Genomic DNA, 23,995 nt, shown 5'->3' on the forward strand with positions numbered 1-23,995 from the left:
GAACCAGGCAGTTGGTTAATCCAGGAACAGCTCCTGCGCGGGGCGTGGACTGAGCAGTCACTGAGTATTACGCAAATTGCGCGAGCGCACGGGAAAAGCGATTGGTCGGTCAGGAGAGAGAGGTGTGTCCTGGCGGGCCCGCAGCTCCGATTGGCCGACAGGCTGACGGGAACGTTTACGGTCAGCGTGTGTCAGCGACGTGCAACCCGGAAGGGAAGAAGGGGCGTGTCAGGCTGCGCAGGCGGCCAGTCCATTGGCTGGAAGAGACCGGAGCCGGGCTCCGGGCCCGACCAGAGGAGGGCGGTGCTGCAGGGCTGGTCCGGGAGGTGACGACCGGCTTCGGAGAGTCTATCATGGCAGCTCGGACTGGTCATACGGCCTTGAGAAGGGTAGTCTCGGGATGCCGTCCGAAGTCGGCGACAGCGGCCGGGGCGCAGGCGCCCGTGCGGAATGGCAGGTAATCAACAGCGGGGGCGCTGAGACGAGAGTAGTTTTCGATTTTGGCTGCCGAGTTGGGGGACCGGAAGGATTTGGGGGTGAGGCAGAGCCGGACTCGGTGCATTTCCGTGTCTTTAGAGGAGAAGGCTTTTTTTTGCGTTTGGCATCTGAGGGACTCAAGAGCGGCGCGCATCACCTTGGGCCCAAGGCTGTGTTCGTGGCTCGTTTGCCTCGTGAGAGGCGGTGAATCATCGGCGAAGCGACTTTGGAAGCAATTTGGCCATTGGTGCCTTTGGGCTCTTCCGGTCTCCTCCCCTATGGCTTGTTGCTACTGCTGTTGGAAAGTTTTAACTTTGCGCAGAAGGGTTGCCGGCTGCTGGCTGTATGGGAGTTTGTGTTTGGCGGTGAGCCCCCTTCTCCGGTTCCTTCTACCTGCCAGATGGTCAGATGCGTTTTCCCAATTTCTGAAAGAGTGCTTTGCCCTCGCCATTTAGTGTTTACAAAACTAAATACAGCCAGCATAAGGGACTTGGATTTTTTCACTCTGCTGTAACTTACAGGTCCTGTAACCTTGAAGCATAGTCAGCTTTCGATTTTCCTGGTTGGTTCATTTTTTGGTAGGTGGGGGTGGAGATGGAGGTCGGGACACGGATACCATACTTGTACGACTTAGTTTCCTTTTACTAATAACATTGTAATATTCTTGAAAATTAAAGTTAGTGTGTTTAAAATGAATTCAGGTGTACAAAATACGAGGTGGGGAGAGAAAACACAAATCTAGTTGAGCCCCAGGACATTTAGATTAAATGAAGATCCGACCCTACTGGAAACAAGGAAATAATTTTTTTAAAAAAAGATTCAATGAAGAATTTTTAAAAACACCAACAACCTTACCAAATCCAAATCCCTTTAGACAAATGTTGGATGAGACAAACAAAATCATAAAATTACTCCTGCTTTAGGAAATAACCTCAAAAAGTAGTTTCAAGCAGAATAACGCCATCATACTTGAGATCTGTTTGTATTACTCTTATAAAATGTTGTCTTGCAAATAACACTTACTTTTGAGAAAAATACAGTTGCTTTAATGATCAAATTGAGGCTTCAGTTCCAAGATAAATACTGTTTATGATAATGAGGGCGGCAGTTTGCGTTCATTTCCAATGTTAAGCATCAGATTCTGACCTTTATTATACTTAAGTATATGAGAGAGTGGTACTGGAAGACGAGTGACAAAAAAGCTGTTCTCCATGTGGTCCAGTTGTCCAGTATTCATTTCATGGTTTAACTGTATATATGAATGTGTGTATCTTCATATCGTAGTTTAAGACATAGTATTCCTGGCAGTGCATGAAAATAGATGTGCTGTCCAGGCCACTGTAACTATAGCATGCAGATTGATCAGAAAATGTCCTGTTAGTTTGCTTTAAACACTGGTGTTTTCCTTAGGCTTGTAATCAGATTGTGTAAGGGTATTTTTTTGGGTAGGCTGGGAGGCAATACATGAACCTGGTACAAAGGTTCATGTATTGCCTCCCAGTAAATACATGAACCTTTATATATAGTAAAAAGTCAACCAGATACCCAATTCACCTCTTTAGAAGCAAAGGTCTCATCTTTTTTCAAGTAAAGGTTTCAGCACTGTTCACAGTAGTTAAGATACAGAATCAACGTAGGTGTCCAACAACAGATGAATGGTACTGGGCGCAGTGGCTTATGCCTGTAATTCCAACACTTTGGGAGGCTGAGGCGGGAGGATTGCCTGAGCTCATGAAACCAGCGTGGACAACATGGCAAAACCTTGTCTCTACCAAAAAAAAGAAAAAAAAATGTGTGTGTGTGTATACACATACACATATACAGAAAAATTAGCTGGCTATGTGTTAGTGCAAGCTTGTGGTTCTAGCTGCTCAGGAGGCTGAGATGGGAGGATCACTTGAACCCAGGAGGTTGAGGCTGCAGTGAGCCTTGTTTGGGCCACTGCACTCATTCCTGGGCAACAGAACCAGACCCTGTCTCAAAAAATAAACAAGGCCGGACACAGTGACTCACACCTGTAATCCCAACACTTTGGGAGGCTGAGGCAGGAGGATCACTTGAAATCAGGAGTTTGAGACCAGCTTGGGCAACATAGCAAGACCTTGTTTCTACAAATAAGTAAAAAATTGGCAGGGCTTGGTGGCGCATGCCTGTGGTCCCAGCTCATTGGGACTTGGGGTGGGAGAATCACCTGAGCCCAGGCAGTGGAGGCTGCGGTGTGTCATGACTATACCACTGCACTCCAGCGTGGGTGATGGAGTGAGACCCTGACTCAAACACAACAACAACAATAAAACAGAAGAATGGATAAAGAAAATGTGGTGTATATATTAATACACGATGGGAATACTATTCAGCCATAAAAAAGAATGAAATTCTGTCATTTGCAGCAACGTGGATGGACTTGGAGGGCATTATGTTAAATGAAATAAGCCAGGAACAGAAAGTTACACATGACGAGTCCTCTCTCATATGTGGAAGCTAAAAAAAGTTGATCTTGGCCAGGCACGGTGGCTTATGCCTGTAATCCCAGCACTTTGGGAGGCCAAGGTGGGCGGATCACAAGGTCAAGAGATCAAGACCATCCTGGCCAACATGGTGAAACCCCCATCTCTACTAAAAATACAAAAATTACCTGGGTGTGGTGGCGGGCGCCTGTAGTGCCAGCTACTCGGGAGGCTGAGGCAGGAGAATCGCTTGAACTGGAAGGCAGAGGTTGCAGTGAGCCGAGATAGCACCGCTGCACTCCAGCCTGGCGGCAGAGCGAGACTCCATCTCAAAAAAAAAAAAGTTGATCTTGCTGGGCGCAGTGGCTCACGCTTGTAATCCCAGCACTTTGGGAGGCTGAGGTGGGCGGATCACAAGGTCAGGAGATCGAGACCATCCTGGCTAACACAGTGAAACCCCATCTCAACTAAAAATACAAAAAAATTAGCAGGGCGTGGTGGCGGGCACCTGTAGTCCCAGCTACTCGGGAGGCTGAGGCAGGAGAATGGCGTGAACCCGGGAGGCAGAGCTTGCAGTGAGCCTAGATCACACCACTGCACTCGAGCCTGGGTGATAGAGCAAGACTCCATCTCAAAAAAATAAATAAGTAAAAAATAAATTAAAAAAAAATTGATCTTAGAACAGAGGATACTAAAGATTGGGAAAGCTGGGAGAAAGGAAGGGATAGGGAGAGATTTGTTGAAGGATACAAAATTAATGCTAGATAGGAGGAATACATTTCTAATGGTCTGTACCCGCGATTTCCCAACCTTTTTGGCACCAGAGAACAGTTTTGTGGAAGACAGTTTCTCTACAAATGGGGGTGGTGGGGTGGGGGATGGCTTCAGGATGAAACTGTTGCACCTCAGATCATCAGGCATTAGTTAGATTCTCATAAGGAGCAAACAACCTAGATTCCTCGCATGTGCAGTTCACAATAGAGTTCTGGCTCCTATGAGAATCTGATGCCACCGCTGATCTGACAGGAGGCAGAACTCAGGCGGTAATACTCACCTCCTGCTGTGCAGCCTGGTTCCTAACAGGCCACGGACAGGTACCAGTCCATGGCCTGGGCGTTGGGGATCCGTCTTCTATACCACTGTAGGATGACTATAGTTAGCAATAATATATAGTTTCAAATAGGTAGAAAGAGTATATTGAATGTTCCTAGTGCAAATAAATGTTGAATGTTTGAGATGATGGATGTGTTAATTACCCTGATGTGATCACTATGCATTGTATGTATCGAAACATAGAATTATGCTCTTACCACTATTATAAAATCAACTACTACTTGTGATGTCCCAGAAAATTTAGAATTCACAAAGCCATCTTGCTTTTTTATATTTTCATTCATGAAGTGTTATTTATAGCTGAATATATAGGAATCTTAAAATCTTAAAAGGTCCTAATAAGTTTACCCATATACAGTTTATGTGTCTTTTCAATTACTTTTTTTTTTTTTTGAGACGGGGAGTCTTGCTCTGTTGCCCAGGCTGGAGTGCAATGGTGCCGTCTCGGCTCACTGCAACCTCCGCGTCCCAGGTTCAAGCATTTTCCCTGCCTCAGCCTCCCGAGTAGCTGGGATTACAGGCACGTGCCACCACACCCGGCTAATTTTTGTATTTTTAGTAAAGGCAGGGTTTCGCCATGTTGGCCAGGCTGGTCTTGAACTCCTGACCTCAGTTGATCCGCCTACCTCAGCCTCCCAAAGTGCTGAAATTACAGGCGTGAGCCACCGCACCCGGCCTCCATTACATTTTAACAGATAGTCATGTAGTATTTACCTTAAGCAAATTCACTGACCTCTGTTTCATTTTCTCTGTAATAAGTGTGTTCAATTTTTATAAACAGCTCTAAAGTTCTTCATTGTATTATAGAGCCCAAATTTGTCTCTCTCTAATTGGGGTTGTGTTTTACACTTTGGGGTCATATTTTCTTTTTCTTTTTTTTTTTTCTTCTTTTGAGACGGAGAATCACTGTCGCCCAGGCTGGAGTGCAGTGGTGCGATCCACTCCATTTACATATATATGTATGTACATATGTATATGTATTCATATATATAAATAAATGGAATGAGGTATTAAATGCTACTAATGCCTATGTGTATTAGTATATACATACACACGCACACACACAGTTATTATATATGTACACACTTCTTTTCTCTCTTTGCATGGCTAACTCCTTGTCCACTATGTCTCAGCTAAAATCTTTTAAGGGATTCCTAGGTCACCCTGTCTAAAGGAGGTCCTAATTACACCTCCCTCTTCCCTGCATCTCTTCTTCAGCACTTTTTTGAATCAATCTTCAACTAGAATATAATCTTCATAAGGCTTATGTTTGTTCTATTCACCATTATATCCTTAGTACTTAGCACAGTCTTAACTTAGAATAGGAGCTCAGTAAATATGTGGATAATTTAAATTGAATTATCCTGGCCAGCAATGACTAAATGACTAGTAGTGTCAAATAGTCAAATAGTTACGTAATAATCTTTTTTCTTTTCTCTTTTTTTTTTTTTTTTGAGACGGAGTCTCATTCTGTTACCCAGGCTAGAGTGTGGTTGCACAACTTCGGCTTACTGCAACCTCCGCCTCCCGGGTTCAAGTGATTCTCCTGCCTCAGCCTCCTGAGTAGCTGGGACTACAGGCGCCTGCCACCACACTCAGCTAATTTTTTGCATTTTTAGTAGAGATGGGGTTTCACCATGTTAGTCAGGCTGGTCTTGAATTCCTGACCTCGTGATCCACCCGCCTCGGCCTCCCAAAGTGCTGGGATTACAGGCATGAGCCACCTCACCCAGTCACTTATGTAATAATCTTATTAAGGAAAGTTGAAAATATTTAGGTGAACAAGCATATAGCAGACATTTGTACATAGAAGTACCTCAAACAATAAGTTTCTGGTTAACTAGACATGTTTTTACATATATGCATTGAAATGGAGACTGCAAGGTAAAGGAGAACGCAGCAACAGTTGGTTTTTATTTGTTTTGTTTTTGCTTTTGTTGAGATAGAGTCTCGCCCTGTCACCCAGGCTGCAGTGCCCGTGGTGTGTTCATAGCTCATTGCAACCTCGAAGTGCTGTATTCAAGCGATCCTGCTGCCTCAGATTCCTGAGTAACGGGAACTACAGGCACATGCCACCATGGCCGGCTAATTTTTAAATTTTTTTGTAGAGACAGGGTCGCTATGTTGCCCAGGCTGGTCACAAACTCCTGGCCTCAAGGGATTCTCATGCATCAGCCTCCCAAACCACTGGGATTACAGGTTTGAGCCACCATGCTTGGCATCAGTACTCACCATCTGGTAGGTGGTCCTACCAGATGTCTGCCAAGAGATTTGAGACCTAATTTTAAGTCTCACTGGAGTGGATCAAGAATTAAGAAACACCTGTGGATCCAGCTAGGAAAACAACGTGGGTAGACAACACAAATCAGAAAATAGATTTGTGTATCTAGCAAAGCTTATGGTAAGAGTAAGTTGTAACATGTGACTACAGAGTGAAAGCCAACTTTCTGGGAGAGATGCCTTTTATGCCAGAAGCTTCTAACCTAACTAAGCTGTTATTTTTGTTTTTTTTTTTTACAGTGTTTAAGAAGCTGTGCTTTTTCTGTGCCCGTGTGTGTGTATTTTTTCAGAAACATTCTGAAGTTGCAAAGCCTTACAAAGTGGATAATTACTTTATAGTTTCTATAATTTGTGCTTCCTTTTAATTTTTACTGTCACTCTAAATCAGGTGATTTTTGTCTTTTCAGATATTTAGCTTCCTGTGGTATACTGATGAGCAGAACTCTTCCACTACATACCTCAATTTTGCCTAAGGAGATATGTGCACGAACTTTCTTCAAAATCACTGCACCATTAATAAACAAAAGGAAAGAATATTCAGAGAGAAGAATTTTAGGGTTCGTATATGATAAGAATTCTACTAAAAGAGCATGTTCACAATTTTCCGTGGGGTATCGTGTTGTGCCTCTTTCTCTCTGGATTATCTTCTTACAGACTAAGCTCTCTTTTCTAGGTTGGCCTTTTTCTTTTTTTTTTTTTTTTCTTTTGAGATGGAGTCTCACACTTGAGTGCAGTGGCGCAATCTTGGCTCACTGTAACCTTCGCCTCTCAGATTCAAGAGATTCTCCTGCCTTAGCCTCCCGAGTAGCAGGCACATGCCACCATGCCTAGCTAATTTTTGTATTTTTAGTAGAAACAGGGTTTCACTGTGTTGGCCAGGCTGGTCTCAACCTCCTGACCTCATGATCCACCTGCCTTGGCCTCCCAAAGTGCTGGGATTACAGTCATGAGCCACTGCTCCTGACCTAGCCATTGCTATTTTATAAATATTTGTTGAATGAATATAATTATATGGTAACTCTTTAGTATAGACTTAAATCTTTGACATGTAAAGAAAATTATTTATGACTTACATTTTTTGTACATTGTTCTTTTCTGTATTAGCAACATTACTGATACATTGGGCCATATGTTTACATAGCTTCCTCATGTATAGATATACATAGATAAGTACATACATACTAAGGCTCCTCATCTAGAGCCTTTGGTAAACATTTTCTGTGAAGGGACAGATAGTAACTATATTAGGTTTTGTGGGCCATAGGGACTGCTCAGCTCCTTCATTGTAGTCCGAAGGCAGACATAGATAATATTTAAATAAACGGGTGTGGCCACATTCCAGTAAAACTTTATTTACAAAAACAGGCGATGGGCCAGGTGTGGCCCCTGATCTAGGGGTAAATAGAGCAGATGGTAAAGACACTACAGTTCTGCTAAACCGGAAATACACCATCCCTCCATAGGGGAATTTCTACAAATGGCTCTTAATTCCTAACTGGCCATGAAGCTTTGTGAAAGTGCATTTCGTTAATTTTACTCATTTGCTTTTGTTCTCCCTATTTTTCTGTAGTAAAAGACTTAACAGCATTGTTCACTAAGTTCACCTTTATTACTAGCTAGTCTCTGTATTAGTTAAGGTAATGCTAACAGCCCTATAGATAATACCCAAGAGTTTATTTTTTTTTCTCATGTAGAGTTCAAATGGGTGTGCCGTCTACTGTAGTCCAAGTAGTGACTCAGAAACCCAGGCTACATCCAACTTTTGACCTCTGTAATTACTTAGTCTTCAGAATGTTGATCACATTGGTCTGGAGGTGACACACAACACCTCCTCCCAGATATTACTGGCAACAGCTAATTGTGACCCCATCTAAACGCAGTGGAAATGAGGACTGGGAATTGTTGCTCCTGATGGGCAGGTACTTCCTAGCAACAGCACCACGTAAAAAGAGTGCAAATCTTTGGATAGACATCATTGTCACAGGTGTTACCTGTTAAAAAGAGAAATGGCAACTAAAAAAATACTGATTTAGTCTGTGTGTGTGTGTGTGTGTGTGTGTGTGTGTGTGTGAGGGAGGGAGAGGGAGAGGTGTACAGGGTCTCAGAGAGAGAGAGAGAGAGAGAGAGAGAGAGAGAGAGAGGTGTACAGGGTCTCACTCTATAGCCCAGGCTGTGGCATGATCTTCACTCACTGCAACCTCTGTCTCTTGGGTTCAAGCAAATCTCATGTCTCAGCCTCCCGAGTAGCTGGGATTACAAGCGTGTGCCACCACACCTGGCTAATTTTTGTATTTTTAGTAGAGACCGGGTTTTACCATGTCGGCCAGGCTGGTCTCAAACTCCTGACCTCAGGTGATCTACCCACCTCAGCTTCCCAAAGTGCTGGGATTACAGGCCACCACTCCTGGCCATACTCTCAATTTTTAAATGCTGGCTACTAAAAATTTAAAAACTACCTCTTTAGGCCGGGCGCGGTGGCTCATGCCTGTAATCCCAGCACTTTGGGAGGCCGAGGTGGGCGGATCACCAGGTCAGGAGATCGAGACCGTTCTGGCTAACACAGTGAAACCCCATCTCTATTAAAAGTACAAAAAATTAGCTGACTGTGGTGGCACGTGCCTGGAGTCCCAGCTACTCGGGAGACTGAGGCAGGAGAATCGCTTGAACCCGGGAGGTGGAGGTTGCAGTGAGCCGAGATCGTACCACTGCACTCTAGCCTGGGTAACAGAATGAGACTCCATCTCAAAAAAAAAAAAAAAAATTACCTCTTTATGTCAGATTCAACCTGTGAGATGCCAAATTGTGATCTCTGCCATATCATGTATGTGTTTATTTAGAGACCTTTTATTTTCTGTGTTGCTTTGAGGTCATTGATTCCAGAATGTGGTTTAATATATGTGCTGAATGATTTATTTATCATACACAGTAAGTTTTATACATATTCACTTTAAAGTATGCATATATTATATAACTAGATGGAGTTAACACCTCTTTTTTATTTTTATTTTTTAAAGATATTCAATGCAGGAAATGTATGATGTAGTATCGGGAGTGGAGGATTACAAGCATTTTGTTCCTTGGTGCAAAAAATCAGATGTTATATCAAAGAGATCTGGATATTGTAAAACAAGATTAGAAATTGGATTTCCACCTGTGTTGGAGCGATATACATCAGTAGTAACCTTGGTGAAACCTCATTTAGTAAAGGTAACAGTTTTGTTTTTTGTTGTTTTTAAATATTCTTCCATATATTAACTTTGTCAAATGAGTTAAAATGTAATAGCCTAAAAAAACTTATTTAACCTAACAGGAGGAGGGTAAAAAATTTATTATATCTCCTAACTGTGTTACTTTATACAATGTTAGCATTATTCTTTCCAAATAGAAATTTGAATATAATATGGGAATGGGAAACTTTTCCCTTTTTTTTCCCTTCTATTGAGGACTACTGACCCACAGGACAGATCACTTGCGCCACCCAAGTGGGAAATGTTTTAATTTAATTTTTCAACTGTTTTAAAATATGAATTAAATACTTTTATTATTGGGGGAAGAGTAAATTTGTTTACTAAATATATAGTTTTTTAAGTTAAAGAAGGAATGGTGGGGAAGAAGGAAGGAAAAAAATTAAAGTGGTGAGAGGATAAAGAAAGGTAGAAAAGATATAGGCATAGCGCTGTGGCTCACGCCTTTAATCCCAGCACTTTGGGAGGCCAAGGCGAGCGGATTACGAGGTCAGGAGTTCAAGACCAGCCTGACCAACATGGTGAAACCCCGTCTCTACTAAAAATACAAAAATTAGCCGGGCGTAGTGGTGCTTGCCTGTAATCCCAGCTACTCAGGTGGCTGAGGCAGGAGAATCACGTGAACCCGGAGGCAGAGGTTGCAGTGTGCCGAGATAGTGCCGCTGCACTGCAGCCTGGGCAACACAGTGAGACTCTGTCTCAAAATTAAAAAAAAAAAAAAAAGATATAAATATGTCATGTCAGGCAGCTGAGATGGGAACCCAAGAAGTTGAGGCTAGAGAGAGCTGTGATTAAGCCACTACACTTCAGCCTGGGCAACAGAGTGAGACAGTGTCTCAAAAAAAATTAAATAAAAATGAAAAGAAAAAATATAAAAATATTGGGGGGCAAAGTGGCTCACGCCTGTAATCCCAGCACTTTGGGAGACTAAGGTGGGTGGGTCACCCGAGGTCAGGAGCTTGAGATTAGCCTGGCCAACATGGTGAAACACCGTCTCTACTAAAAATACGAAAAAATTAGCCAATATGGTGGCAAGTACCTGTAATTTCAGCTACTCAAGAGGCTGAGGCAGGAGACTCACTTGAACCCAGGAGGCAGAGGTTGCAGTGAGCTGAGATCGCGCCAGTGCACTCCAGCCTGGGCAACAAGAATGAAACTCTGTCTCAAAAAAAAAAAAAAAAAAAAAAAAAAAAAAATATATATATATATATATATATATATATATATACACACACACACACACACACACACACACACATACATACACACACATATATATATACGTATATATATATATACACACACACACACATATATATATATACATATATATGTATAAACATTGTTGAGATTATCCTGCCAAGTACCAGGTACTGAAATGCCAACTGCTCTTACATTATATTAATCATCTTATGCTTGTCAGAGGAGGATACACATGTAGAAAAGGGTACCGACCTTAAAAACAAAAAGGCAGAATTCCATGGGATAATGCATATTTCTTTTGCATTCCCATTTTGGAGTGGCCAAAGATTTTTAAAACTGAGTTATTTTTTGCCCACAGGATTTAATGATGATATAATTTCTTGGTAAGTGGCCAGAGCCAAATACCTTAGTCAGCTCTTTGTTAGGCATTGAAGGGGGTGCAGCTCTCAGATGTGCTCTTTCTGGTGCAGCTAGAAAGAAAGAGAACACTGTCACTGTCCAGTGAAGCTAAGACCCTATCTGCCCTATTCTTACCCTTAAAACTTCAATTCCACTTAAAATGCTGTGGACTAGGATTTTGCTATTATTACAAATGCTTTCACCTGCTTGCCTCATTGTTTTAGAGTTTTTAAACTACTTTCTGTCGTAATAGCTAACATTTACTGAGCCCATTTTACTGCTTTACTTGAATTACTCAAATTTTCACAAAAGCCCTTTGAGGTTCAAGAGTTATTATTTATTTTAGAGTTGAGGAAACTAAGGCTTAGAAGAGATAGAAAACTTGCCCAAGGTCACAGAGCCAAGACTCCAGCTGTCTGACACCAGTGAATATTTCTATAATCTTAATTTTTTTTTTCTATTTCCTGAGCTCAATTTACCATTCAGTCCCTTAGAACTTAAATCTTTTTTTTTTTTTTTTGAGATGGAGTCTCACTCTGTCGCCCATGCTGGAGTGCAGTGGCGCTTCCAGTGGCGTGATCTTGGCTCACTGCAAGCTCCGCCTCCTGGGTTCACATCATTCTCCTGCCTCAGCCTCCCGAGTAGCGGGGGCTACAGGCTCCCACCGCCAAGCCTGGCTAATTTTTTATATTTTTAGTAGAGACAGGGTTTCACCGTGTTAACCAGGATGGTCTCGATCTCCTGACCTCATGGTCTGCCTGCCTCAGCCTCCCAAAGTGCTGGGATTACAGGTGTGAACCACCGCACCCATCCAGAACTTAAATCTTAGTATATATATTATGCTGCTTCTAACTAAAAGAACTCTAAATAAACCTCATTTTTTCCTCACTGTCTACCTTTCTTCTGTTCCCTGCCGCCTTTTTTTTTTTTTCCTTTGAGACAGAGTCTTGCTCTGTTGCCCAGGCTGCAGTACAGTAGCACAAGCACAGCTCACTGCAACCTCTGCCTCCCGGATTCAAGTGATTCTCCTGCCTCAGCCTCCCAAGTAGCTGGGATTATAGCCATGTGCCACCACGCTCGGCTATTTTTTTTGTATTTTTAGTAGAGACGGGGTTTCTCCATATTGGCCACGCTGGTCTTGAACTCCTGACCTCAGGTGATCTGTCTGCCTTGGCCTCCCAAAGTGCTGGGATTACAGCCATAAGCCACCAGGCCCAGCCTCTCTCCCCTGCCTTCTTAAAACCTACAGGATAAGCTAGGTTTGGTAGCATGCACCTGTAATCCCAGCTACTCAGGAGGCTGAAGCGGAAGGATCGCTTGAGCCCAGGAGGTTGAGGTTGTAATGTACAGTGATCATGCCTGTGAATAGCTACTGCATTCCAGCCTGGGCAACATAGCAAGTAAGACTCCATCTCTAAAAAACAAACAAACAGGCTGGATGTGGTGGCTAACACCTGTAATCCCAGCACTTTGGGAGGCTGAGGCCGAGATGGCTGCATCACCTTAAGTCAGGAGTTTGAGACCAGCCTGGCCAACACGGTGAAACCCCATCTCTACTAAAAATACAAAACTTAGCCAGGCGTGGTGGTGAGTGCCTATAATCCCAGCTACTCGGGAGGCTGAGGCAGAAGAATCACTTGAACCCAGGAGGCAGAGGTTGCAGTGAGCCGAGATCGCGCCATTGCACTCCAGCCTGGACAATGAGTGAAATTCCGTCTCAAAACAAACAAACACAAAACAAAAACAAAACCACACAGGATAAAGTAAATCTCTTTATCATTGCACATTGACCCATTTACTTCCCTGCTCCCTCCTCCCACGTAATACTATACTTGATGTTCAGCTAATACCGAATGTCTTAAAAGTTCCACGAATGCACAGTACAGCACTATTCCACAGCCGTGTGCCTTTGCATATTGCTTATTCTTCTATCTGTAATGCACTTACCTTCTTGATATTCCTTCAAATTCTGACCATCTGGGGTCATTTTCTCTCTTTCCTTTCATATTGATAAGTAGCACTACCTTGGTGATTCTCCTGTGCTTTATTCATGCTTTCTTTTATCACTCTGTAATATATTTCTTCAACAGGATTTCTCCTTGACAAGACTGTGGTACTTGAGGGAAGGAGCCCCTGTCTTTTTCATCTCTGTAACCTCAACAGCAATACTATAATGATGGGAGTCATGAAGCCTCCTTACTTATGAAGCTTTCACTACCTGTATTTTTGGATTATTGCAGATTCAGAGACATTCATAATAATCTTAGAGTAAACTTTCAGCACTGCTAAGGGAGGGATAAACTGTATTAGAAAAAAAGTAATCTTCATAATAACCTGCATTAGATGATCATAGCTATCTCAATTTTATGAAGCTTAAGGAGATTAAGAACCTTGGGCAAATTCACACTTGCATGTGTCTGACTCCAAAACTATTTTTTCTTTTTTTTTTTCCTACTCTCCTTCCCCCTATTTTTTCATTATAAGTTGCCTCACATAATAATGCTAGTTTGTTTTTTAAAGACATACTTGAGAATATATGCTCAACTTTCAGTTGTTCCTGGGTTCAGTTTCCAGATTTTTTTTTTTTTTTTGAGACCAAGTTTCACTCTTGTTGCCCAGGCTGGAGTGCAATGGCATGATCTACGGCTCACCGCTTCCTTTGCCTCCTGGGTTCAAGCGATTCTCCTGCCTCAGCCTCCTGAGTAGCTGGGATTATAGGCACGTGCCACCACACTGAGCTAATTTTTGTATTTTTAGTAGAAACGAGGTTTCACCATGTTGGCCAGGCTGGTCTCAAACTCCTGACCTCAGGTGATCTGCCTGCCTCGGCATCCCAAAACACTGGGATTACAGGAATGAGCCACCATGCCTGGCCTGGGTTCTGGATTTTATTTATTTATTTATTTATTTATTTATTTAGATGGAGTTTCGCTCTTGTTACCCAGGTTCTGGATTTGATTGATTGATTGATTGAGATGGAGTTTCACTCTTGTTGCCCGGGTTCTGGATTTGATTGATTGATTAAGATGGAGTTTCGCTCTTGTTTTCCAGGCTGGAGTGCAATGGCGCAATCTCAGCTCAGCACAACCTCTGCCTCCTAGGTTCAAGCGATTCTCCTGCCTCAGCCTCCTGTGTAGCTGGGATTAAAGGCATGCGCCACCACGCCCAGCTAATTTTGTATTTTTAGTAGAGACGGGGTTTCTCCCTGTTGGTCAGGCTGGTCTCGAACTCCCGAACTCAGGTGATCCGCCCGCCTTGGCCTCCCAAAGTGCTGGGATTACAGGCATGAGCCACCATGCCCGGCCAGGTTCTGGATTTTAATACCCAATAGACAACACAGTAAAAATTATTATTTTTTACCCAATACAGTAAAAATTATTATAAGGGAAGAACAGAAGCCATGTGACAGTTCTGTGAATTATTAGCTGACCAAAACATGCCTGTCACTTAATATGTCAGTAATTCTAGTCTACACTAATCTTTAATGGCCAGAAGCCCTTGAACATTTTCAGAGAGGCAACAGTTCAATGACTTTTACTGCCTGCTTCATGATAGAAACATTTTGTATGGATTAGTTTATATAATGGTCTAAATCAGTTCACTCAGAACAGTCAGTAGTAGGTCATCATTATGACAGCTTCTACTATTCAGTATCTCTGCTCTTAGAAATGAGGTCTTTGGCAAACTCTTCGTGTCAAAACATAACAGTAAAAATCCGTGCGTCCTTGGGCTAGATAATTGGAGTGAGTGAAATACTGCCAGATTTTGTATAAAAGTAGTCAGAGGAGGCCGGGTGTGGTGGCTCACACCTGTAATCCCAGCACTTTGGAAGGCCGAGGCGGGGGGATCAGGAGGTCAGGAGATCGAGACCATCCTGGCTAACATGGTGAAACCCCATATCTAGTAAAAATACGAAAAAAAATTAGCCGAGCATGGTGGCGGGCATCTGTAGTCCCAGCTATTTGAGAGGCTGAGGCAGGAGAATGGTGTGGATCCAGGAGGCGGAGCTTGCAGTGAGTCGAGATCGCGCCACTGCACTCCAGCCTGGGTGACAGAGTGAGACTCCGTCTCAAAAAAAAAAAAAAAAAAAAGTAGTCAGAGGAAGGTGCTATGTTACAGTGAATACTCCCAAAACCTGTTTATCCTTTAATGTTAAATTTCCTATAAGCTTCTTAAATGATTGTAAAGAAGGGCAGAATGTATTATCCTAAAGTTGGGCAACTGAAATAACAAGATTTTATTATAGACTCTTGATGCTCTTAGAAATTACCTGTGCACTTTAGGAATGCTCTAGATTATTTGTGTGGATGAGGTGGTTCACGCCTGCTGTAATCCCAGCACTTTGGGAGGCCAAGGCAGGAGGTTCACTTGAGCCCAGGAGTTCATTACCAGCCTGGGCAACTTAGGGAGAACACAACTCTACAAAAAATGAAATAATTAGCTGGGCATAGTGTCACACACCTGTGGTCCCAGCTACTTGGGAGGCTGAGGTGGGAAAAAATAAAAATAAAAATAAAAATAAAATGCTGAGCATCTCTCAGGGTCATAACGAGCATAATCAGTCCTAACAATGAACTAGTAACTATGGTTCTGGTTACCATTTTCAGATTGCAGATGGCATCTCTTTCATGGATCTCAATAAATTTTTTTATTTTTTATTTTTATTTTTATTTTATTTTTTCAGACAGTGTCTGGCTCTGTCACCCAGGCTGGAGTTCAGTGGCGTAATTATAGCTCACTGCTGCCTCAGTCTCCTGGGCTCAAGCAGTCCCCTCACCTCAGCCTCCTGGGTACTTGGGACTACTGGCATGCATCACTAAACCTGGCTAATTTTTAAATTTTTTTCGAAGAGACAGGGAATCTCGTTCTGTTGCCCAGGCTGGAGTGCAGTGGCATAATCATAGCTTACTGCAGCCTCGAACTCCTGGGCTCAAGTGATCCCCCAACCTTGGCCTCCCAAAGTGATGGGATTACAAGTGTGAGCCACCACATCCAGCCACAATAAGTATTTTTTTTATGATACAAAATAGGAACTACCAAGATGCCCTGCACATAGTATGGTTAAGTATTGTGATTGTGTGCATACTGAATATAAAGTATACATGTGCATTGAAAAAATCAGAAAGAAATGGATCAGGGCTAAGGGCCAGGACTACACAGTTAGGAAAACTAGATAGAGGCCTCTAGGAATAAGGAGCAAAGAGTGAAGGAAAGACTATACGTGATTAATAAGAGAACAGTCTTTGAGTAGGAGATAAATGTGTACCAGGTACCTTATTAACATTTCAGTGATCTCATGATATAAAGTAGGTATTATTTTACAGATTAAGGAAATAGGGTATGGGGATTTAACTTGTTCACGATCACTTATATGTGGCAGAGCTAGAAATAAGCTTCCAAGAAGCTCCCTCTTTTGCTTCTAGAGGAAGGAAAGCTAAGTAGCAAAGCAGGTGTTAGCAATGGAAGAGAAAACACCTGGCAATCTTAGGGATCCCTGCAGGAAAAAAAAAAAAGGCTAATATTGGCAAGACATTACTTCCTAGTACCAAGCTAAAAATTAGATATCTTTATCTCCTATGGTCTGACCTATAAAAATTATTACTTATGAAAGAAATCAGCCTCAGTCATAGTAGATTCTTAGATTATGTCCAGTAGCAAAGGTATTTAACTGTGGTTTTATTTTTTCATTTTGTTGTAGGCATCTTGTACTGATGGGAGACTTTTCAATCATTTGGAGACTATTTGGCGTTTTAGCCCAGGTCTTCCTGGCTACCCAAGAACTTGTACCTTGGATTTTTCAGTAAGTCTCATAAAGCCCTTGATTTGTTCCACTTATGAGGTAAAATTGGTAAAAAGTAATCATTTTTTAGAACACAGAGGCCATAATTATATTGAATACCTTTTTCTGCATAAATGCTAATGAACATTTCTTTTTTATTCTATTTCTTGCAACCTTGAATATTCCTTCATTCTGTTTTTTACAAATCTGTAGATTGTAAGATACATGCCATGACTTTACAACCAGCTTAATAACAGTTTTAAACTTAATAATAGTTTTAAATTAACACCAAATGAAAGAACACATTGCATATAAGATGCAGAAACAGGCTAGGTGCAGTAGCCCATGCCTGGAATCCCAGCACTTTGGGAGGCTGAGTCAGGTGGATCACTTGAGGCCAGGAGTTTGAGACCAGCCTGGGGAACATAGCAAGACTTTGTCTCTAGTGAAAATAAAATTATCGGCTGGATGGGGTGGCTCACACCTATAACCCTAGCACTTTGGGAGGCTGAGGCGGGCAGATCACCTGAGGTCAGGAGTTCGAGACCAGCCTGACCAATATCATGAAACCCCGTCTCTAGTAAAAATACAAAAATTAGCCGGGCGTGGTGGCATGTGCCTGTAATCCCAGCTACTCAGGAGGCTGAGACAGGAGAATCACTTGAACCCGGGAGGCGGAGGTTGCAGTGAGCCGAGATCGTGCCATTGCACTCCAGCCTGGGCAACAAGAGCAAAACTGTCTCAAAACAAATAAAAATAAAAATAAAATTATCCTTGTGTAGTGGTGCCCACCAGTAGTCCTAGCTGCTGAGAAGGCTGACGAGCAGATCACTTGAGTCCAAGGGTTCGAGCTTGCAGTGAACTATGATCACATCACTGTACTCCATCCTGGGCAACAGAGTGAGACCCTGTCTCAAAAAATTTAAAAATAAAACATGCAGAAATAAGGTAATATATTTTTTTCATTTTTTTGCATCTAGAGTCTGGTAACTTTCTTTTTTTATTTTTTTGAGATGGGGCGCTACTTTGTCACCCAGATTGGAGTGCAGTGCTGTGATATTGACTCAGTGTAACCTCTGCTTCCCTGGCTCAAGTGATCCTCACACCTCAGCCTCCCGAGTAGCTGGGACTACAGGAATGCACCACCACACAGGCTTATTTTTGTATTCTATGTAGGGATGGGGTTTTGCCATGTTTCCCAGGCTGGTCTCGAACTTCTGGGCTCAGGAGATCTGCCTACCTTGGCCTCCCAAAGTGCTGGGATTACAGGCGTGAGCCACCGCACCCAGCCTAGTAACTTTCTTTTTCATATAATCGTAGTTATAGAAAACTTAAAGCAATTTGTGGCTTTTTCTTTGCCAACAGGTAATATGGGAGTTGTTCTCTGTACAGGCAACTTGGGCATTGAATTTTAAGAAATGGTGGCAATTTTGACTAAATTATCGTGTGCTGTTCTCAGCTCTTGAGTAATTTTCATTAAAGCATTATAGACATTAATAGGACAATTGGGGCCAAGCACAGTGGCTCACGCCTGTAATCCCAGCAATTTGGGAGGCCGAGGCGGGCAGATCACTTGAGGTCAGGAGTTTGAGACCAGCCTGGCCAACATGGCGAAACCCCATCTCTACTAAAAATACAAAAATTAGCCGGGTGTGGTGGTGCATGCCTGTAGTCCTAGCTACTTGAAAGGCTGAACCAGGAGAATCACTTGAACCCAGGAAGTGGACGTTGCAGTGATCTGAGATCGTACCACTGCACTCCAACCTGGGTGACAGAGTGAGACACTGTCTCAAAAAAAAAAAAAAAGGACAATTGGGAAAATTTGAATAAGGTCTATATAAATTAGATAATAGCATTATTATCTAGTAGTAGTAACTCCCTCTGTTAATTTCCTGATTTTGATAATTGCAGTATGGTTATTGAAGACATTAAAATAGGGAAATATGGGTAATGGGTACATGGGAATTCTTTGTATTATTTTGTAGTTTTTTTTTTTTACAAAAATGAAATTATTTCGTAATGAAAGATAAACATTTTAATATTTAGAGGATATTTGGTCCTTAAAACACAGTTCTCAAACCAGTTGTCTTGAATTCTATATGGAACAATGAGAGGGTATAAATAAAGTTCTGAAAGGGTATCCAAGGGAGAGAATACAGTCATGGGTTCTTAGTTTCTGTTTCTGGTTGGGCCAGTAAAGCCTCTTCCTCATCCCTCTTTTCCACTTAACCACTAGAGACAGAAACTAAAACCCATGGCTTCAGGCTGTTAAAAGCCTAAAACAAAACAAAACAAAACAACAACAACTACAAAATAAGGTGGATTGGACAAGCTTGTCCACATCATTGGCTACTTTAAGATTGAACCACGTGGCCGGGCGCAGTGGCTCATGCCTGTAATCCCAACACTTCGCAAGGCCTAGGTGGGTGGATTACCTGAGGTCAGGAGTTTGAGACCAGCCTGGCCAACATGGTGAAACCCCGTCTCTACTGAAAATACAAAAATTAACTGGACGTGGTGGCAGGTGCCTGTGGTCCCAGCTACTCTGGAGGCTGAGGCAGGAGAATCGCTTGAACCTAGAAGTCAGAGGTTGCATTTGAGCCGAGGTTGGGCCATTTCCAGCCTGGGCGACAGAGCAAGGCTCCATCTCAAAAAAAAAAAAAAAAAAAAAGAAAGATTAAACCACTTACACCATCTGCCCTGTGGGTTAGGCACACATGTGCATGCACACTTCCAGCCTCCTCTTCCTGCTGGTGCTTCTCAGTGATACCTATGAGAAGGATCACTTTCCTTCCTTATTTCCTTTTGTGGGATAGGATGGATCTAAAAGGGACACATTAATAAGAAGGCATAGTGATTAATGTATTCAGCAAAGGTTTTTTCCAGTCTTCTCTTATTAAGAAACAGACTTTTTCCCTTGAAATGAGATTTCATTGGCCTTCTTTATGTAAGCTTATTGTGCCAGCAATTGTGCTTGTTGCAGTAAAAGAAGATTCCCTCTTTTGTGGGGGTGCTAAAAATCCCACCTACATACATCCACACAATTCTACCTTAGATACCCAGTTCATAGTGTGAACACCACTGTCCTAAGTGGAGATTTAGTTTAAAAAAAATCTTTCTGGCTGGGCACAGTGGCTCATGCCCATAATCCCAACACTTTGGGAGGCTGAAGTGGGCAGAATTGCATTAGCCCAGGAGTTTGAGATCAGCCTGGGCAACATGGCAAAACCCCTTCTCTACGCCCCCCCCCACAAAAAAAAAAAAAATATATATATATATATATATATATATACACATATATACATATATATATATGTATATATACACGTATATATATGTATATACGTATATATATACGTATATATATACACACACACACACACAAATTAGCCACATGTGGTGGCATATGCCTGTAGTACCAGCTACTTGGGAGACAGAGGTGGGAGGATTGCTTGAGTCCAGGAGGTTGAGGCTGCAGTGAGCCGCAATTGTGCCACTGCACTCCAACCTGGGCAACAAAGCGAGAGTCCCTCTCCAGGAAAACCAAAAAAAAAAAAAAAGCAAAAAATAATTTTTTCTAAAATAATTTTCAATATTTTCCTACAGATTTCTTTTGAATTTCGATCACTTCTACATTCCCAGCTTGCCACACTCTTTTTTGATGAAGTTGTGAAGCAGATGGTAGCTGCCTTTGAAAGAAGAGCATGTAAGCTGTATGGTCCAGAAACAAATATACCTCGGGAGTTAATGCTTCATGAAGTCCATCACACATAAAGGCAAAAAAGAACTGGTGCCACCTGCTTCTGACTTTAGTTTGTTCACTTTTAGGAAGTATTTTCATGACATGTTTTCAGAAGCCAGAAAGCATTTGTTAAACGCAGCTTTGGTTATAAACCTGCACCATTGAAAATTTGCACATAGAATATAGACTCACTTGTACATAGAATTATTTCTTCAAGTATAATTCAAAATAATATGGACATTATCATGTTCTGCATTACAATAATGGGATGTCATCACCATTGCTAGAATACTGGCATGATTCTTCTGAGCAGAAGTTGAAACTGTAAATTTAAACCTTTTAATTATCACCTTACCTGAAAGAGGTTAGTTAAGATATTCACACAGTATGTATTATATTAACCATATCACACTTAAGTTATTAAATTCAGACTATTTGTAACTTATTGTTATAGGGCCTGCCGTATGGCTTAGGATATTTGAGTAATCATATATTTAAAGTAAAAACTTTGGGCTGGGCACAGTGGCTCACACCTGTAATCCCAGCACTTGGGGAAGCTGAGGTGGGCAGATCAGTTGAGGTCAGGAGTTCTAGACCAGCCTGGTCAACATGGCGAAACCCCATCTCTACTAAAAATACAAAAATTAGCTGGGCGTGGTGGCACACACCTGTAATCCCAGTTACTTGGGAGGCTGAGGCACAAGAATCGCTTGAACCCGGGAGGCGGAGGTTGCAGTTAGCCAAGATCGCCCTGCTGCACTCCAGCCTGGGCAACAGAGGGAGACTCTGTCTCCAAAAACAAAAACAAAAACTGTTAGTGAAGGTTCCCTGGGACTTTTGATATTTTAAAAATTGTTCTTATGACTAGTAGATAAATTCATTGCCATAATGAGGCTAGCTCCCAGATAAACAGTGTATTTTCTTCTTTTTTTTTTTTTTTTTGGTGAGTGGTCCAGAGCTTTAAGCTACTTTTCCAGTAGTTTGCCACTTTCTCCGAGGTAGTTTGGCTGCTCTTTCAGTAATGCTAATTGTGTGTCAAATTTTGTCTACAACAGTAGGCAACAGATGAAGATAAGTTGGTTGAATGTCTCCAGCACTATGCATCCCTATTTTCTATTTATTGTGTACACTCACTTTCAGTAATGTGTTTCAAACTGGTATTTTTTAAAAAACAAATCAATGTAAGGACTGAAGTTGAAGTAGCAATGTAATAAAGTTAATTTGTTTATTTTTTGTACAGTTAGTTTGGTTATTGAAATCTTCCTATATTGTTTAAATGTGTATTTGCATAGACATAGTAAAGTGTTACAGCATTTCATGTCTTAAAAATATCTATGAAGATATCTAAAATATCTATTTCTATGAAGAAACAGACTTTAACAAATATAAGCAAAATTCAGTTTTCTTTTAACCAGTCATTGATCTCCTGTCCTCCTTTCACTACATACCAACAACCCTCTGGCATTAAACTTCCAGTGATAGTGCTATTAACTTTGTTTCCTCAGGTCAACAAGGGACCTCAGTAATTAGTTCTCTACATAAGTATATATATGGGTATTAATTTGTTTAATAAATCTGTTTTGAGCACCTGCTTTCAATCAGACACTGGGTATAGAGTGATGAAGGATTCATATCAGCCTCTACTCATGAGGAGCCAGGTTGTGCTCTCACACAAGGTAAGCAGTATCTTTCCACTTACAGATGAGGTATTTGCCAAGAGCATAAGTAGTTTGTATATAGTTATATACCTTTTTTTTTTTTCTTTTCTTGAGACGGAGTTTCGCTTTTGTTGCCCAGGCTGGAGTGCAATGACGCGATCTCAGCTCACCGCATCCTCTGCCTCCCACGTTCAAGCAATTCTCCTGCCTCAGCCTCCTGAGTAGCTGGGATTACAGGCATGCACCACCACACCTGGCTAATTTTGTATTTTTAGTAGAAACGGGGTTTCTCCGTGTTGATGAGGCTGGCCTCAAACTCCCAACCTCAGGTGATCTGCCTGCCTCAGCCTTCCTAAGTGCTGGCATTACAGGCGTGAGCCACTGTCCCTGGCCAGTGTACCAATGTAGCTTTTTAAATAACAAAGTTTTTTTTTTTTTTTTGGCTGGGCACGCTGGCTCATGCCTGCAATCCCAGCACTTTGGGAGGCTGAGGCAGGCAGATCACGGGGTCAAGAGATTGAGACCATCCTGGCCAACATGGTGAAACCCTGTCTCTACTAAAAATACAAAAATTAGCTGGGTGTGGTGGCGTGCGCCTGTAGTCCCAGCTACTCGGGAGGCTGAGGCAGGAGAATCACTTGAACCCAGGAGGCGGAGGTTGCAGTGAGCAGACATCACATCACTGTATTCCAGCCTGGCGACAGAGGAAGATTCCACCTCAAAAAAAAAACAAAAAACAAAAAACTTTTTTTTGTTGTTTCGTTTTGTTTTTTGTTTTTTTGAGACAGAGTCTCAACTCTGTTGTCCAGGCTGGAGTGCAGTGGCACAATCTCGGCTCACTGCAACCTCCGCCTCCCAGGTTCAAGTGATTCTCCTGCTTCAGCCTCTCAAGTAGCTGGAGAGTATCAGCGCGCACCACCACATCGGCTAATTTTTGTATTTTTTAGTGGAGACGGTTTCACCATGTTTCCCAGGCTGGTCTTGAACTCCTGACCTTAAATGATCTGCCGGCCTTGGCCTCCCAGGGTGTTGGGATTATAGGCGTGAGCTACTGCACCCGGCCACAAAGTTTTTTTAAAATGGCAAAGTCATTTAAAGCTTTTTAAAAATAAGACTCAGACATTTTATTATCTCCATGTACTGTATTCTCTTTTTTAAAAAATTATTTATTTATTTATTTATTTTTAGAGACAGAGCTCCCTTTGTTGCCCAGGCTGGTCTCAAACTTCTGGGCTCGAGCACTCCTCCTGCCTCAGCCTCCCAAAGTGTTGGGATTGCAGGCCTTAGCCACCATGTCATGCCTGTATTCTCTTTTGATGGAAATAGGAACCCATACTTTATCACTCCTTTTACAAATGCCAGCCAGGTACAGTGGCTCACACCTGTATTCCCAGCACTTTAGGAGGCTGAAGTGGGTGGATTGCTTGAGCCCAGGAATTTGAGACCAGACTGGCAACATGATGAAGCCCCATCTCTACAAAAAATACAAAAACTCATTTCCCCTTTGCGAGGGTGCTCATTGGTTTATGTTAAATTTTAAGGAAGTTGTAAACTTGGGGCTAAACTCAGTTGCCTATGTCTCTCAAATTCTAGAAATTAGTACTAAAATTATCCAGGTGTGGTGGTATGTGCCTATAGTCCCCGCTACTCAG

At 42.1% G+C, this 23,995-nt stretch overlaps 1 protein-coding gene and 1 long non-coding RNA gene across 5 annotated transcripts, besides 4 other annotated features; one reads left to right on the plus strand and one right to left on the minus strand.

The window, feature by feature from the left end:
- Positions 7–623: an enhancer, noted in NCBI's record as "H3K27ac hESC enhancer chr2:198317938-198318554 (GRCh37/hg19 assembly coordinates)". NCBI's record gives its function as "activates a minimal SCP1, AML or CMV promoter by ChIP-STARR-seq in naive H9 embryonic stem cells {active_cell/tissue: H9 hESC(naive)}" and the evidence as "EXISTENCE:reporter gene assay evidence [ECO:0000049][PMID:30033119]".
- Positions 68–547: an enhancer, noted in NCBI's record as "active region_16936". NCBI's record gives its function as "activates an Ori minimal core promoter by ATAC-STARR-seq in GM12878 lymphoblastoid cells {active_cell/tissue: GM12878}" and the evidence as "EXISTENCE:reporter gene assay evidence [ECO:0000049][PMID:35858748]".
- COQ10B (coenzyme Q10B) lies at positions 345–22,103 on the plus strand. Of its 4 annotated transcripts, none has more exons than NM_025147.5 (5): positions 345–457; positions 6,725–6,874; positions 9,332–9,524; positions 16,863–16,964; positions 20,550–22,103. In NM_025147.5, the coding sequence occupies exons 1-5, from the start codon at positions 354–356 to the stop codon at positions 20,715–20,717; spliced, it is 717 nt and encodes a 238-aa protein (NP_079423.1). In that variant the 5' UTR covers positions 345–353; the 3' UTR covers positions 20,718–22,103. The 4 variants fall into 4 exon arrangements, with proteins under 4 accessions (NP_079423.1, NP_001307747.1, NP_001307749.1 ...); NM_001320820.2 differs by lacking the exon at positions 345–457 and adding an exon at positions 798–1,039; NM_001320819.2 differs by lacking the exon at positions 345–457 and adding an exon at positions 798–842.
- Positions 568–617: an enhancer, noted in NCBI's record as "active region_16937". NCBI's record gives its function as "activates an Ori minimal core promoter by ATAC-STARR-seq in GM12878 lymphoblastoid cells {active_cell/tissue: GM12878}" and the evidence as "EXISTENCE:reporter gene assay evidence [ECO:0000049][PMID:35858748]".
- Positions 818–867: an enhancer, noted in NCBI's record as "active region_16938". NCBI's record gives its function as "activates an Ori minimal core promoter by ATAC-STARR-seq in GM12878 lymphoblastoid cells {active_cell/tissue: GM12878}" and the evidence as "EXISTENCE:reporter gene assay evidence [ECO:0000049][PMID:35858748]".
- LOC124907951 (uncharacterized) lies at positions 11,107–19,834 on the minus strand. Its single transcript, XR_007087903.1, has 2 exons — positions 19,634–19,834; positions 11,107–11,235 (listed from the first exon to the last, which is right to left on the minus strand). It is a non-coding gene; the product is annotated as an uncharacterized LOC124907951 (long non-coding RNA).
- Positions 22,104–23,995: the final 1,892 nt, after the last annotated feature.

The sequence above is a fragment of the Homo sapiens genome, chromosome 2 (assembly GCF_000001405.40).
Source record: "Homo sapiens chromosome 2, GRCh38.p14 Primary Assembly".
Classification (NCBI taxonomy): Eukaryota; Metazoa; Chordata; class Mammalia; order Primates; family Hominidae; genus Homo; species Homo sapiens.

Excerpts from the sequence above, each read along its gene's own strand:
- COQ10B (NM_025147.5), top strand. The coding sequence starts at position 354 with ATGGCAGCTCGGACTGGTCATACGGCCTTGAGAAGGGTAGTCTCGGGA. Across the intron at positions 9,525-16,862 it reads TGAAACCTCATTTAGTAAAG|GCATCTTGTACTGATGGGAG; the intron begins GTAACAGTTTTG and ends ATTTTGTTGTAG. Across the intron at positions 16,965-20,549 it reads CTTGTACCTTGGATTTTTCA|ATTTCTTTTGAATTTCGATC; the intron begins GTAAGTCTCATA and ends ATTTTCCTACAG.